At 37.3% G+C, this 16,304-nt stretch overlaps 1 protein-coding gene across 23 annotated transcripts in view; it reads left to right on the top strand.

The window, feature by feature from the left end:
- The window catches only part of PHC3 (polyhomeotic homolog 3), a 94,150-nt gene that overhangs the window by 43,372 nt on the left and 34,474 nt on the right, over nt 1-16,304 (top strand). For 10 of the 23 annotated variants that reach the window (XM_047448987.1, XM_047448984.1, NM_001437996.1 and 7 more), the window contains 4 exons: nt 1,697-1,943; nt 8,810-9,678; nt 9,975-10,022; nt 15,618-15,771. In XM_047448987.1, coding sequence (XP_047304943.1) covers nt 1,697-1,943; nt 8,810-9,678; nt 9,975-10,022; nt 15,618-15,771 — 1,318 coding nt within the window. Of the gene's footprint in view, nt 1-1,696; nt 1,944-8,809; nt 9,679-9,953; nt 10,029-12,354; nt 12,379-15,617; nt 15,772-16,304 lie in introns of those variants that run through there. The other 13 variants (NR_199370.1, NR_199371.1, XM_047448988.1 and 10 more) reach the window with 3 other exon arrangements.

Below are 16,304 nucleotides of genomic sequence, written 5' to 3'. Positions count from 1 at the left end.
TCCATTTATGTTTACATTGGTATGAAATATTTGAGAAAAATCAGAGAAGACACTCCATATGGTTTCAATTAGAAAATTCTTTGAGTAGCTTAGAATAGAACTGATGAAAAGTTTGGCCTGAAGTATAGCTTTTTTAAAAAATTATTTATTTATTTATTTGTTTTTTTGAGACAGAGTCTTGCTCTGTCACCCAGACTTGTGGGCAATGGCGCAATATCTTGGCTCACTGCAGCCTCCGCCTCCCAGGCTCAAGCAGTTCATGCCTCAGCCTCCCGAGTAGCTGGGATTACAGGCATGCGCCACCATGCCTGGCTAATTTGTGTATTTTTAGTAGAGACAGGTTTGCCGTGTTGGTGAGGCTGGAACTCCTGGCCTGAAGTGATCCACCCACCTCGGCCTCCCAAAATGCTGGGATTACAGGTGCGAGGCACCACACCCAGCCTGAGAAAGGACAGCTTGTTTTGGAGACAGAGTCTCGCTCTGTTGCCCAGGCTGGAGTGCAGTGGTGCCATCTGGCTCACTGCACCCTTTGCCTCCTGGGTTCAAGTGATTCTCCTGCCTCAGCCTTCTGAGTAGCTGGGGCTACAGGTGCGTGCCACCACGCCTGGCTAATTTTTGTATCTTTAGTAGAGATGGAGTTTCACCATGTTGGCCAGGCTGGTCTTGAATTCCTTACCTCAGGTGATCTGCCTGCCTCGATTTCCCAAAGTGCTGGGAGAAGGTATAGCTTTTGAGCATCAGTTAATGATGTAGAGACGGAACACACATGAAACTGAAGAATGTTTTTATAAAGCAGCAGTATATCATTTGCTTGATCACTTCGGAGTCTCTTTTATTTCAGTTTCTCTCCCAGGGCCAGTGCTAGCCTGCATATATTTGATACATTCATTCTAGATAGGCAAGAAGTTCAGCAACTTTTGGAGCAGCATTTTTCTGTCTTGCATCTTGCTGTTTGGAAAGGTTATAAATCTCAGCTGAGATTAATTGGGATAATCCTTGCTACCATCCAGACTGGCAGTATGTTTCATATAGCCCTGAGTGTAGCAGGAGCCACCATAGAAAGCCATTTCAGGGTCATGCAGAGTCTTTTCAGTTCATGAGATGTAGTTTTCAAAGGCAGTGAATGTTCAATAACACCACCACCAAAATTTTACTAAATTAAAAGAGTTGCTTGAAAATGCTTTTCATAATTTTCACAATGGGGCAGATGATTTGATGAATTAATTTTCTTACAAGGTTAATGTCCCCTTAATCTCTATAGCTAGAACTGGTAACTTTTAAATGCAGTATGTTGCAGAGTAATTTCCTCATATTCACAGTTCATACATATATAATACACACACTGTCTGTATATATATATACATACTGCTTTTATTTAGTTCTTTATGATCCTTCCCTTCTCCTCCCCTTCCCTCCCCCTTTCTTCTTCCCTCTCTTCCTTTCTTTTTTTTCTCTCCCTCCCTCTTTTCTTTTCTCTTATGTCTTTTAAAAAATTGCCACTTAATATTTAAGATGTGATTACTTAGAATAATAACTCTCCTTTCCTTAAGGATTAATCAGTTCTTTCAAGTGCTTGGAGCTTTACGTATGAAAAGCATAATATAAATGTGTTGTCAGTATTGTCATAATGGTAATGATGACCACATCAATTAAAACCATCTGTTTTCATCCTAATTTTCTGTTATGTGGTTCTTAGGTTCAGAATTTAACATTACGCAGCCAGAAGTTGGGTGTATTATCTAGCTCACAGAATGGTCCACCAAAAAGCACTAGTCAAACTCAGTCATTGACAATTTGTCATAACAAAACAACAGTGACCAGTTCTAAAATCAGCCAACGAGATCCTTCTCCAGAAAGTAATAAGAAAGGAGAGAGCCCAAGCCTGGAATCACGAAGCACAGCTGTCACCCGGACATCAAGTATTCACCAGTTAATAGCACCAGGTGGGATAAAACTTTTGTTGAAAATAGTTGTATTATTCATTTTCTTAGCAGACAGAGCAAAACAAAGGATGTTCATGACTTGAACAGGAGTGACACCTTTAAAACATTTTAAAATGTGAATTTTATAAACTTAATCTTAATGTGTAGCTTGAAAAGAGACAAAAAAGCCCAAAAGATAAAATAAATTGTAACAATATAATAGGTTTTTTAAAATCAAATTACATTTGATTATCATCTTTAAGCACTGGTCTCTCCTTATATTGATAAAACCTTCTATCTTTAAAAAAAGATTTGCCTGTAGTTTATTTAATATACTTCAGTGGGATAATTTTTAAAGCTTTTAAAAAAGCAGTATACTATTTTGTTTAAAGTTGTTATCAGTGGGAGAAATTTGTCACTTTGAAACATAGGATTATGCATAATTATTTTCCTTATGTTGTTGTCTTTTTCTGCCTTTGATTTCATCTCTGAGAGGATCATCTCAGGCAATCACCTGAGTCACTGTCATTCTTCTCAAGCTTTGAATTCTACCTTTGCTTCCTTTACTTTATCCAGATAATCTTGCCTCATGGTTCTCATACTGAAAATGTGGGGGCCATCCAGAGTGAGCTTACTGTCTCTTCTGTTCATCTCAGAATTTCTCAGGATTGAATTTTGTTTACTTTTGATAAGATAAAGAGTTACATGTATTCTTAAACTTAGCACCATTTGCCCCTGTTGTTGATCCTACCTTTTTTTTTTTAAATTTCCTGACCTTCTTTAGTACATAATTGTTACAGCGTCTTTTATCTTCTCATGCTAGACCTTTTCCTTTGTTTCTCAACCATAATTAGGTCTCCCTTATTCTTAATGTAGCTGCATAGTTTTCTAAATCACTATAACTATATATTGTTTGAGTGTGTGTGTATGTGTATGTGTGTTGCACTGGGCTATACACCTTACAAATGTTTCATTAAAAAAAAAAATCTGGGCGGGTGCAGTGGCTCACGCCTGTAATCCCAGCACTTTGGGAGGCTGAGGTGGGTGGATCACTTGAGGTCAGGAGTTTGAGACCAGCCTGGCCAACATGGTGAAAACCCATCTCTACTAAAAATACAAAAATTAGCAGGGCATGGTGGTGCACACCTGTAGTCCCAGCTACTTGGGAGGCTGAGGTATGAGAGTTACTTGAACCTAGGAGGCGGAGGTTGCAGTGAGCCAAGATTGCACCACTGCACTCCAGCCTGGGCGACAGAGCAAGACTCTGTCTCAAAAACAAACAAACAAACAAACAAACAAAAAACTTCCTTTGTTCCAGCAACCTCATCGGGTAAGCATCTTTTTTCTGTCCTTTTACAACGCTGCTTTGCTTTTTAAAGACTTGTTTTATACTTAGGTGTAAGTGTAAAATATTCCACTTAAACCTATTTCACTTCTCAAGTTTCCTGTGTTAATACTGCCAGCATTCTCTACATCACTGAATCTCAATACTGTGGCATTGTCTGATTACCCTAGTTAGAAATTTCTCCTCCCTCTGAACTTTTATGGTCCCTTCTGGTTCTCTTTCCTTTATAGTTACTTATATACTGATCTTAGCTTGTCTGCTAGATAGTAAGCTCCTTGAGGGTAAGATAATAATATTGGGCATTTATGTATGTGTGAGGCACTGTGTTAGTACTTTACATTAACTCTTTAATCCCTTTTTGGATTCATCTTTTCATCCTTGTATCTTGACAGCACTAAGTTGTATCTTATACGTACTTACGTATGTTAGGTAGGAGGTACATATTTGTTGGATTAATAGTTCATTTTTTTTTCCCACTTGGATTTTGGGAATTATTGCAGTCTTTCTTATTGGTACTAATTAGGTATCACTATACTTAGAATTGTTAAATCTGAATCTTATGTAAGTAGGCTTTGATATAATGTATAAATTAATAAATATATTCAAGCTGGGCGCGGTAGCTCACATCTATAATCCCAGCACTTTGGGAGGCTGAGGAGGGCAGATCACCTCAGGTCGGGAGTTCTAGACCAGCCTGACCAACATGGTGAAACCCCGTCTCTACTAAAAATACAAAAATTAGCCGTGCGTAGTGGCCGGCACCTGTAGTCCCAGCTACATGGGAGGCTGAGGCAGGAGAATTACTTGAACCGGGGAGGTGGAGGTTACAGTGAGCCGGAATCGCCCCATTGCACTCCAGCCTGGGTGACAGAGCAAGACTCCGTCTCAAAAATATATATATATATATTCGTAGTATAGTTAGACACGAATTCTTATTTTTTTTTTTTAAACCTCTGTGTGCTAGGCGCTGCTCTCTGTATGGCATAAAAGCTGGGTTTTTACACTACTGTACAGAGTATTCTCAGCCTCAAACCAGCGTCTGGCTAGTTTTGACAGTGTGGAGCAATGGTGACCCATGGTCCTTAGGATGACTGCTCAGGGACAATTTCTAGTGATTCCTGCAGTTTTGATAAATTATAATGAAAGGTAGATTGATTTCTTTCTAAAGAGAACGTTACTTTCAGAGAAAGCCGGGAACTCTTTCAGGGTTAGTTCAAGCAAGGAAATCTAGTTTTGGATTTTTCAGTCCCCCTTAACTCTCAATATCTGGTTCTGAATTGCAGCTTATTCTCCCCTCTTTCATTAATAGTGTGATAATATGCTTATAGTTTGCATTCCTCTGATGGTCAATATCTTGTGTAAGTATGGAGGAAACCAGTAAGCCAAAACCACCAGAGTCTCAGGTCAGTTTTAAGTCCAAATTCAGATCTTACATATACTCCAATTTTCCTTGATGTTGTTGATTATAAACAAACCACGCAGAAAATCCTGAACTACTTAAAAGTTTCTTAAGCCTTACACTGCAGTTATTCAAAGCCATTCATATCTTCTATTAAGGCTATAGCTATATTTTTCACCTTTTTAGTTTTTCTGCTTTTATTGGTAAGAAGTTAATCTTGGCCTGGCACGGTGGCTCACGCCTGTAATCCCAGCACTTTGGGAGGCTGAGGCGGGCAGATCATGAGGTCAAGAGATCGAGACCATCCTGGCCAACATGGTGAAACCCCGTCTCTACTAAAAATACAAAAATTAGCCAGGCATGGTGGCGCGCTCTTGTAATTCCAGCTACTCTGGAGGCTGAGGCAGGAGAATCGCTTGAACCTGGGAGGCGGAGGTTGCAGTGAGTCGAGATCACACCACTGCACTCCTGCCTGGCAAAAGAGCGAGACTCCATCTAAAAAAAAAAAAAAAAGTTAATCTGAAGCGAAGATATTTTGAGATATTCTCAATTGATTATTTGTCCTCAATTAGAAAAATGTTCCTTCAAGTCATTTTAAATGTAAAAAAATCTACTTGTATTCTAATGTAGTATAGTCTAATTATTATAGTATACATGGTTATTGTTTTCTTATATGTATTTTTAGGGTGCCAAAGTAACTTGGTTTTCTTTATCATTTCTTTTTGAAGGTGGAGTTTCCACTTGATACATAGTAAATTCTATTTTTAATATGTAAAATAAGGTCAAACTTTAAATGTTTGGAAACATGAACTGTATTAGAGCTGAAGTTTTTCTATCACAGTTTTTAGAGCTTTTATGAAACTAGCTTAATTGGAAAAAATATATACTGTTTTTTGTAGACATTAATTCATTGTGTAGTGAGAAGGTCCTGTATTAATCAATCTGCTCCAGCTGCCATAACAAAATACCATAGACTGTGGCTTAAAGAGCAGAAATTAATTTTCTCACAGTCCTGGAGGCTGGAAAGCCCAAGATCGAGGTCTGGCAGTGTTCAGTTTCTGGTGAAGGCTCACTTCCTGGCTTGCAGATGTCCTCACATGGCCTTGAGTGTGTGGTGGGTGGAGGGAGCAGAAGCTCTCTGATGTCTTTTCTTAAAAGGGCACAAACCATGTCATGTCAGGGCCCCACCCTATGACCTCATTTAACCTTTGTTACTTCCTTAGAGGCCCCATCTACAAATACACATTGGGAGTTAGGGCTTCAGCATACGAATTTTGTGCCACAAACATTCAGTCCATAACAGGGCCCTAGACTCAGTTAGGATCATAGGTTCTTTTAGACCTAATGCTGTCCTTAATAGCCAGATGATTTTGGGCAAGTCACTTAACTACTCACAGTTTCTTCATCTGTCGTATGTTGGATTGGTATAGTACCCTATCACCTTCATGGGGTTGTTGTAGTTACTGGGTGAAATAATATGTGTTACTGTAAATAATAGAATTATATATATATGTGAGAGATGTCAGCCATTAATTCTCTGAATTTAAAGCCATCCTGACAATAAGATGTTTATTAAAATCAGAGAAATTAACCAACATGATAGGATTTTTTTTCCCAGAGCACTAGGTCTTTTCTTTTACAGAGGTATTGCTTCACATAGCCACCTAATTATTCTGTAATATATGTGCTTATCAATTGGTCTTATGGACTAAAAATAAACACACTTTGATTTCTGATCAAAGAAAAATGTAATTTAGATGAAAGGATAGATTGCTAATCTGTTGAATTGTCACAGCTCTAAGATATAAAAAGATTGCTTACTTACCAGAGCATAGAAAGATTTGTTATTCTTTTTTTTTGAGATGGCGTCTCCCTCTGTTGCCCAGGCTGGAGTGCAATGGCACGATCCCAGATCACTGCAACTTCCGCCTCCCGAGTTCAAGCAATTCTCCCACCTCAGCCTCCTGAGTAATAGCTGGTATTACAGGCGTGTGTTACCAAGCCCGGCTAATTTTTGTATTGTTAGTAGAGATGGGGTTTCACCATGTTGGCCAGGCTGGTCTTGAACTCCTTACCTCAGGTGATCCTCCCACCTCAGCCTCACAAAATGCTGGGATTACGGGCATGAGCCATTGCGCCCAGCCAGAATTGTTATTCTAGTACCATACTGGTACTTCAACAGTATGGTAAATTTAAATTAAAGCTTTACTTACAAAATTGAATTGAAGTGGGCCCTTGCTGTTATGCTTGCAAAAAAATCTATTTACTTATCTGTAAGAGGGAAATAATAATACCCACCTATACCACAGGCATTTTGTAAGTATGAATGAGAGACACGTGAAAGCACTTTCAGCCCCTTGGATGAAGGGCACGCTGTAGAAATCCAAGATTTTGTTAATTTACCCTTTTTGAATACTGTTTAGCATAGTCTATATCAACACAGTTTTAAAAGACTGACATAAAATTTTCAGTCTTAGTGTGAAGTACTAGCCTAGATACTTATATGAAAATTATTTTGTTGACTTGATTTCCTTTTTTTTTTTTTTTTTTAACAATTAGTGGATATTTATTGAACTTTCCAAACGCCTCTTTTTTGGATGTTAATCAGATGTTAATTTCTTTAAAGGATTCCAAAAATTTTAAATAATAACCAAATGTGAAAATTTTTTTTAAAAAGTTGTGGAAAGTTTTTATAAAGTTGTCACAAATGTGGTTGAACACAAAAATAGATGTAAGGTATAATATAGTCTTTCTCCTAATATTCCAAGGTTAGGAAAAAAAAAATTGCCCTGTCTTTAAATCTGTGTTAAATGTGTGTAATTTTTACATGATATTAACATTAAGCAATTGTTTCAGTTTATCTTCTTGTGAACTCAGTTTCCATTCTTACTTAGGATTTCATCAGCATCTCCCTTTCTATAAACATGTGCCACCAGTTTGCAGAAAAGGCATGATGGGGGGCTCCCTACCACTTGACTGTGCTAATTCTTACATATATTTATTCCTGTTGAGTGGCTTCTTTGTGGAGAAAACCTCATACTGTCACATCAATTATTGAAGTTTTTTTTTGGTGAGGGAAAAGGGTTAACAAAATCCCTTATTTAGGTAGCATGGGCTTCTGATTGTCTCATTCTCTGCAAGCAAAACTAGTGTTTTCCTAGATTTGGAATGGCCCCTAAATTTGAGTTCTTAGTTACAGTGATTAATTAACTGTGCTACAGGATTCACACACGTCTTTTGCTTAATCACATTAGATTATTATACAAAATATTTTCTCTTCCTGGGTCAAATGATATATATACCCTCATCTCAGCTCAAAAATGGAAACTCATTTGGGAAGCTTTATAAGTAATTACCCTATTAGTTGGAAGCACGTTTAGATATGGATTAGAAAGGATGAGATCTTTATTTTATGAATTTTAATATAGTATTTTTATGATTTTGAAGTTATCTTTATATATGTTATACTTGTTCTATGATGATACTCCTCTTTTCCTGCAAAGAAGAAATTCAAGTGTATAAACTTTGCTAAAAGTTAATGTAGATATTCAGGTGACCTATAAAATATAATAAGAACAAACCATGTATAGATTCAGATTATTAAGTTTTAGGCAGTTTTCTTTTAGAACTTATCACAGTACAGTGTATTTTATGATATTTTCTAGTTTTCCAACTATAAATTGTCATTAAATATTCAGGCCAGGCGTGATGGCTCACGCTAGTAATCCCAGCACTTTGGGAGGCTGAGTTGGGAGGATCACTTCAGGTCAGGTTTCAAGACCAGCCTGGCCAACGTGGTGAAACCCCGTCTCTACTAAAAATACAGAAGTTAGCCGGGTGTGGTAGCGGGCACCTGTAATCCCAGCTACTCCGGAGGCAGAGACAGGAGAATCGCTTGAACCAGGGAGGTGGAGGTTGCAGTGAGCTGAGATCATGCCACTGCACCCCAGCCTGGGTGACAAGAGCAAGACTCTGTCTCAAAAAAAAAAATTTTTTTTTTTTCAAATTACTCTTGTTTGGAAAACTTGTAATAGAATTCTGATGATTATGACCTTCTGATAATGAACACTTTTTCCTTTAGAGTGATTTAAAAATTTCTGTATTTTTGAAATCAGTACTAATTGTCATTTTTTTCTCTCACAGCTTCATATTCTCCAATTCAGCCTCATTCTCTAATAAAACATCAGCAGATTCCTCTTCATTCACCACCTTCCAAAGTTTCCCATCATCAGCTGATATTACAACAGCAGCAACAGCAAATTCAGCCAATCACACTTCAGAATTCAACTCAAGACCCACCCCCATCCCAGCACTGTATACCACTCCAGAACCATGGCCTTCCTCCAGCTCCCAGTAATGCCCAGTCACAGCATTGTTCACCGATTCAGAGTCATCCCTCTCCTTTAACAGTGTCTCCTAATCAGTCACAGTCAGCACAGCAGTCTGTAGTGGTGTCTCCTCCACCACCTCATTCACCAAGTCAGTCTCCTACTATAATTATTCATCCACAAGCACTTATTCAGCCACACCCTCTTGTGTCATCAGCTCTCCAGCCAGGGCCAAATTTGCAGCAGTCCACTGCTAATCAGGTGCAAGCTACAGCACAGTTGAATCTTCCATCCCATCTTCCACTTCCAGCTTCCCCTGTTGTACACATTGGCCCAGTTCAGCAGTCTGCCTTGGTATCCCCAGGCCAGCAGATTGTCTCTCCATCACACCAGCAATATTCATCCCTGCAGTCCTCTCCAATCCCAATTGCAAGTCCTCCACAGATGTCGACATCTCCTCCAGCTCAGATTCCACCACTGCCCTTGCAGTCTATGCAGTCTTTACAAGTGCAGCCTGAAATTCTGTCCCAGGGCCAGGTTTTGGTGCAGAATGCTTTGGTGTCAGAAGAGGAACTTCCAGCTGCAGAAGCTTTGGTCCAGTTGCCATTTCAGACTCTTCCTCCTCCACAGACTGTTGCGGTAAACCTACAAGTGCAACCACCAGCACCTGTTGATCCACCAGTGGTAAGCCCTTGGAAGCTCTTTGACTTTCTTGCTGAACTGAAAGTAAAAACTATTTTTTCCCACACTATGTTTTATTGCAAGATCTAAATGCCTGTGAACTAAAAAAGCTTGAAATTTCCATGTGTCAGTATTCTGACAAACATGCTGTATGGGCAAAAAAAAAAAAATGCCATTGTTTGTTTAGTGTGGTTGCATGCTTTATAATTTGTGATGGTAATTAAAGTCCCTCGTTAATTTTATTACTATTTAAACAAATCCATCTGCTATCTTTACAGAGTTGATTTTTTTTCCCCAAGGGAATGCATTTGAACCAGTGTCATCTGCACAAAGTTTTTTCTCTTAAGGTGATTATCCTTCATAGATCCCTTCTGTTGGCTTGTATGTTCTCAAAACGTATGGTTTATCTAGCCTAACCCTTTTAGTTTTATGCATCCTAGAGTCTTGGGCTTTTAGGGGATTTTGTTTCAAGTTGGAGATATGCTTATATGATGTAGTTTTTTGGTAAAATTATACTTTGTAGTTGAAATTTTGTAAAAAAAAAATTATTCTAGGAGAGAGTCCAGCTTTGCCAAAAATTTAACTGTAGGCCATCTTATAGAATTATTAAACTTAATGGTTTGTTATTTCTACTAAGGAAAAATATGTACTTAAAATATTTCTCACTTAAAAATGTCAAAAAATCTTGGTAGATGAATTTAATACTGAGGATGAAAAAATCCATTTAGAGGAGTAAAAGTTTCGAATAATTGAGATTGTAGTGGGATTTTTAAGAATAAACCTCTAAAAACAATTGTTGCCTAGAAAGAAAAATTATCTTGAAAAATACTTTTCTTTAAACATTCTCTAAAAGACATTTTAAGATTTATAAAACTGAAATAAGGTCTCTAATTGTTTAGTCAGAAGGATCAAATTCATAATTTGTAACTGAGGAGAAGAATCTTCCTAAAGGGAGGTTTTGTATTACACCTCATCCAAGAGATTTTATCACCTAAAAGCTAATAAATATTAGCTCAGAAAGGAGTTTCGAAGTATTTTTTATTATTAATACTTGTTTTTTCTTTTCATACTTGGATTATCCTCAATGTTCTTTAATGAAAAGTATTTTGGTTCTCATGATACAAATGTATAGATTTTTGTATTCTTGTCATTCTTACTGATCTTAATAGGCACAGAGATTGAATTATACCTTCTGTAAATTTTTATTAAAAGCAGAACTTGGCTGGGTGTAGTGGCTCACGCCTGTAATCCCAGCACTTTGGGAAGCTGAGGTGGGCAGATCACCTGAGCTGAGGAGTTCGAGACCAGCCTGGCAAACAGGGTGAAACCCTGTCTACACAGAAAAATACAAAAATTACCCGGGAGTGGTGGCCATGCCTGTAATCCCAGCTACTCGGGATGCTGAGGCAGGAGAATCTCTTGAACCTGGGAGGTGGAGGGTGCAGTGGGCCGAGATTGCGGCCTGGGCAACTGAGCGAGACTTTGTCTCAAAAAAAGGAAAGAAAAATTTTTAAAAAGTTTATCATTCAGTTATCATGTCTATATTTTCTTTCAATAGATTTTTGGAGTTTACTATGGATATTGTAACAAAAACAGGGGTATAGGAAGCGTACAGCACCTTCAAAAAATTTTTAATTTAAATTACTTTCTCACTACCTAGTTCAGTGATTTGGTTTTTAACCAGTAAAAAATAAGGCAGTTTCCAGGCAGGGCATAATAGAAAAGAAAAAAAATACAATTTAAAAATAAAAACAAACAAAAAAAAACTTCTTTATAGTCCTTATATATTTTTAATTGTTTATGTTAGGGGAAGCTATAGAGGAACAAATTTGGGATAGAAATATAAGGCTGGGTGTGGTGCCTCACACCTCTAATCCCAGCACTTTGGGAGGCCAAGGCAGGTGGATCACCTGAGGTCAGGAGTTCAAGACCAGCCTGGCCAACATAGAGAAACTCATCTCTACTAAAAATACAAAAATTAGCTGGGCATGGTGGCGAATGCCTGTAATCCCAGCTACTTGGGAGACATAGGCACAAGAATGGCTTGAACCCGTGAGGCAGAGGTTGCAGTGAGCTGAGATCGTACCACTGCACTCCAGCCTGGGTGACAGAGTGAGACTCTGTCTCAAAAAAAAGAAAAAGGAAAAAAAAAAAAAAATATATATATATATATATATATATACATATGGAGCATAATACTTTGAAAACTAAAGCCAAAAATATTTTGTTGCTTCCTGCACTTCTACCTTAAAACATTTTTGGAAGTTTAAAAAATGATATTAATAACTTTCTCTGCTATCACTGATATGGTTATAATGCTTGCTATGGATGTTTCCATGTTACCTTTCTAAATATTTTTTAATCTTTTACCTTTCTTTGAGTAACATAGCTCTTTAATAATTTATTAAGCTTGTTTTTTTATTACCTTTGACCAAATGTGTTATTTTTTCCATTCAAACACATTTCTTCACAGGTTATATTTTTCTGGTTGTTTCAAACACTTAAAGGTAGAAAGATGTATTTTTTAAGAGATGTGGAAATTTGAAAGATAAGGGTGAATTTTCAAAGTAAAATCAGTATGTTTTTTAAGATACTTAAGAATTAAAGTTTTTTGTTGACATTTGGATATAAGTATGTTGAGGGTAGATAATTTAGAACTAATAAACAAATATTCCTCAGTTTATTTAGGAAAGGGAAACAGATGGGAATATTGGACTTTATTGAGGTAAGTTTGGCAGTCTTTGTTATTTTTAGAATAGTTATAGTTATGAGCTAAACAGTAATTGTGATGTGCAGTTTCCTAATGATCTTGTGAGTGAGCAAAACCTCCACTTTGCTTTTTTCAACATTTTAATTGTTGAACATTTAGATTTGTTAATGCTGATTGTGCCAGATGTCTGTGACAGATTTGTTTTTGCCTACTTCTTTTATTCATGCACTTATTTCGCCTTTATATGAGAGTTCTGGAAGTACATATAGTTAGCTTTAAGTATAATGAGTGGAAAGTATTTTACAGTATTTGATGGATTATTTCAAAATATGCTATTTGTGTTATGGCTCTTTTCATTCTTTAAACTCTTGTTTTTAAAAATCAGAATTCTATGTATGATCAAGCTTTGATTTCTTAAAAGATACTCTAGCAGATGTTTGAATAACATGTAACTGCATTAGGATTAAAGAGAGTTTCAGCATTTTAAGCAAAGATCATGTTCTTTGGAAGAAAAGTACTATCTATTATACTGAAGGAATGCTACATAGATAAAATTGAACTGGTCGATAAAACCATACTTGTTTAATTATCTCTGAATTAACATCTCTGACACTAAGGCAAATTAAAGTATTCACTGTGACAGCACTTGCCCTTGGGGACTAGATTTTTTTTCTTAACCCCCCAGACACTTTTTAGAATGATTTTACCTATATTGGGCATTATCATCATTTAAAAAACTGTTATTATCATGAACCGATCTAGTATAATTGTTGCTCCGAACAATAACAAATGACTGCTTTCACGTCTGAGATTCAGGCATGAGGCACAGAATCTCTCTTAGTGTAACTGGTTTCCAGGTGCAGGGTTGTGAGCAAATAACTTTAAAAAATGTTGCCTACTTTGTAGCTGATTCAGATCACAGTTCTGAATTTTATATTTGGTATAATATTATGTTTGATATAAAATTATCCAGTAACAGTAGAATTTTAAAGTTGTACAAAAGACAAAAGAAGATGTTTTATTCTTAGTGGAGCCTTGGAAAGATTTTTATTTTATTTTATTTTATTTTTGATTGTCACCTATTGTTACCTTTATAACTTACTGTTATATCCTTATAGGTGAAACTTGATTGTCCCTTTTACAACACATGGGTTTTGCTGGTTTCAGAAATCCTGATCACTTTTATGTATAATTTTATATACTTTAAAACATCAGACTTTTAAAATAGTTTGATTAAAAATGTACACAATATTAGATGTTGCTGAAAGGTTTCTTGTGAATGTTGAAAGTTTGTTTGTTAACATTTGTGGGGCTAGGTGTGCAGTGGCTCATGCCTATAATCCCAGCACTTTGAGAGGCCAAGGCAGGAGGATCACTTGAGCCCAGGAGTTTGAGACCAGCCTGGGCAACATAGTGAGACCTCATCTCTACAAAAAACATTTTAAAATGAGCTGGGTGTGTTAGTGAACACCTGTGGTCCCAGCTACTCAGGAGGCTGAGCTTGGAGGTCAAGGCTGAGTGAGCCATAATGGAGCCACTGCACTCCAGCCTGGGCAGCAGAGTGAGACCCTTTCTCAAAAAACACTTTTTTAATGGGAAGATTAGTCAGTATGGTTAAATAAGATTTTAAAAACTCATAATTTTTGTAAACTTAAGTAATAAGCTTTATAGATAAAAGAAGGGAAATGAACTCTTATGGCTTTATTTTTAGTAATCATTTTTCATAAATAATGGTTAAGTAAATAATAAATGATAACAAATTAAATTAAAATACCCATGTCAACCTCTAGAAGTGTTCTTTGAAATGGAAACATTAATAATAAGGTATTGGCCGGGTGCGGTGGCTCACGCCTGTAATCCCAGCACTTTGGGAGGCCAAGGCAGGTGGATCACGAGGTCAAGAGATCAAGACCATCATGGCCAACCTGGTGAAACCCTGTCTCTACTAAAAAGTACAAAAAATTAGCTGGGCATGGTGGCACGCGCCTGTAGTCCCAGCTACTCGGGGTGGCTGAGCCAGGAGAATCGCTTGAACCCAGGAGGCAGAGATTGCAGTGAGCTGAGATCGCACCACTGCACTCCAGCCTGGCAACAGAGCGAGACTCTGTCAAAAAAAAAAGTATTTCTAGTTACATAGCTCCTTCTCAGGGTGCCTTCGATTCCATTTTCCTTTTTCTTTTTTTTGAGATGGAGTCTCACTCTGTTACCCAGGCTGGAGTGCAATGGCCTGATCTTGGCTCACTGCAACCTCTGCCTCCCAGGTTCAAGTGATGTTCTTGATTCAGCCTCCCAAGTAGCTGGAACTACAGGCGCCCGCCACCATGCCTGGCTAATTTTTTGTATTTTTTTAAGTAGAGGTAGGGTTTCACCATGTTGGCCAGGCTGTTGTGGAACTCCTGACCTCCGGTGATCCACCCACCTCAGCCTCCCAGAGTGCTGGATTGCAGGCACGAGCCACTGCACCTGGCCCCATTTTCCTTCTTAAGTATAATCTTTACAATTGGATAACAAGGTGGTTAAGTTATAGACTTAAAAACTTTCTCCCATAAGTATGGAACATTATAAAAAGAGTAAAAAAATAAGGTGTCAAAGAGCTTAGGCTGTGTGTGTGTGTGTGTGTATGCATTTCAAGGAAAGATATTTTCTGTTTGCATATTATATATAAAGAGTCATTAGATTGTTGAGTAGAACAGAAAAGGAGAGATATAATTGCGTATCTTTTTTTGTAGATTCTCAGATGTTACTTTTTATAATTTAATCTTTAAATTACATAATAATAAGGAAGAGCCTGGGATAGAATCCTACATGTCCTAATATAGTGTGTCATTGTAGGAATTCGCTTAGTGTGCTTATGAAAAATGTTAGTATCTGTTTTGATTCATGACAGTTAGAAGTTAACAAAAACAGTTGAATTCCCAAAATCGTTATTTTATTTGTATTTTTTAATTATCGAAATAAAAAATATTTTCAGACTTGACTACCATCTTTTTGGAAACCTTGGTGATTTTTGGTCTAGATACTGATCCACAGCTTGCTTTCAGTCAAATATTATGAAGAAATATGAAAAACTTCATTCGAGCAATTTTTAAGTTTTCCTTTCAGTCTGTTAGAGTAGTCATTTTTGCCTTGTTTTTAAATTTAATACACATAGAATTTAATTTTCTGAAATTAAGAACACCTGATAAAATATAGTTTTGGAAACATTTTAAGGCAGTATGGTTTGTCATTGCAGGTTTATCAGGTAGAAGATGTGTGTGAAGAAGAAATGCCAGAAGAGTCAGATGAATGTGTCCGGATGGATAGAACCCCACCACCACCCACTTTGTCTCCAGCAGCTATAACAGTGGGGAGAGGAGAAGATTTGACTTCTGAACATCCTTTGTTAGGTGAGAAAATACCAAAATTTGTGGGAATTTTTCTATTTGATAAATGTTAATAATAGGAAAAGTTGATTTTTTTCCCTTTCCTCCTTTCACCCTTTTTGTAGCTGGAACTACAGGTGCACACCATTACAGCTGGCTGATTTTTTATTTTTTATGGTGACGAGGTTTTACTATGTTGCTTAGGCTGGTCTTGAACTACTGGCCTTTAGTGATTTTACTGCCTTGGCCTTGCAAAGTGTCAGGATTACAGGTGTGAGCCATTGCACCCAGCCTGTTTATTCACTAGAGATAATATTAAACGAATTTGTTATGGTAGTTAATTGTAACAAAATACAGATTTGAGTTTAAGGTTGTTTTTTGAGACAGGGTCAGTCTCTGTCATCCAGGCTCAATCATAGCTCATTGTAGCCCCTATCTCCTGGGCTCAAGAGATTCTTTTGCCCCAGCTTCCAAATAGCTGGGTCTACAGGAACCTTCCAGCACACTTGGCTAATTTTTTATTTTTTAGAGATAGGGTCTCATCCCGTTGCCCAGGC

This window comes from Homo sapiens, chromosome 3, assembly GCF_000001405.40.
Source record: "Homo sapiens chromosome 3, GRCh38.p14 Primary Assembly".
In the NCBI taxonomy this organism is placed as follows: Eukaryota; Metazoa; Chordata; class Mammalia; order Primates; family Hominidae; genus Homo; species Homo sapiens.
Note: the sequence above shows the minus strand (reverse complement) of the source record. Positions and strands in the feature narration are given on the sequence as shown.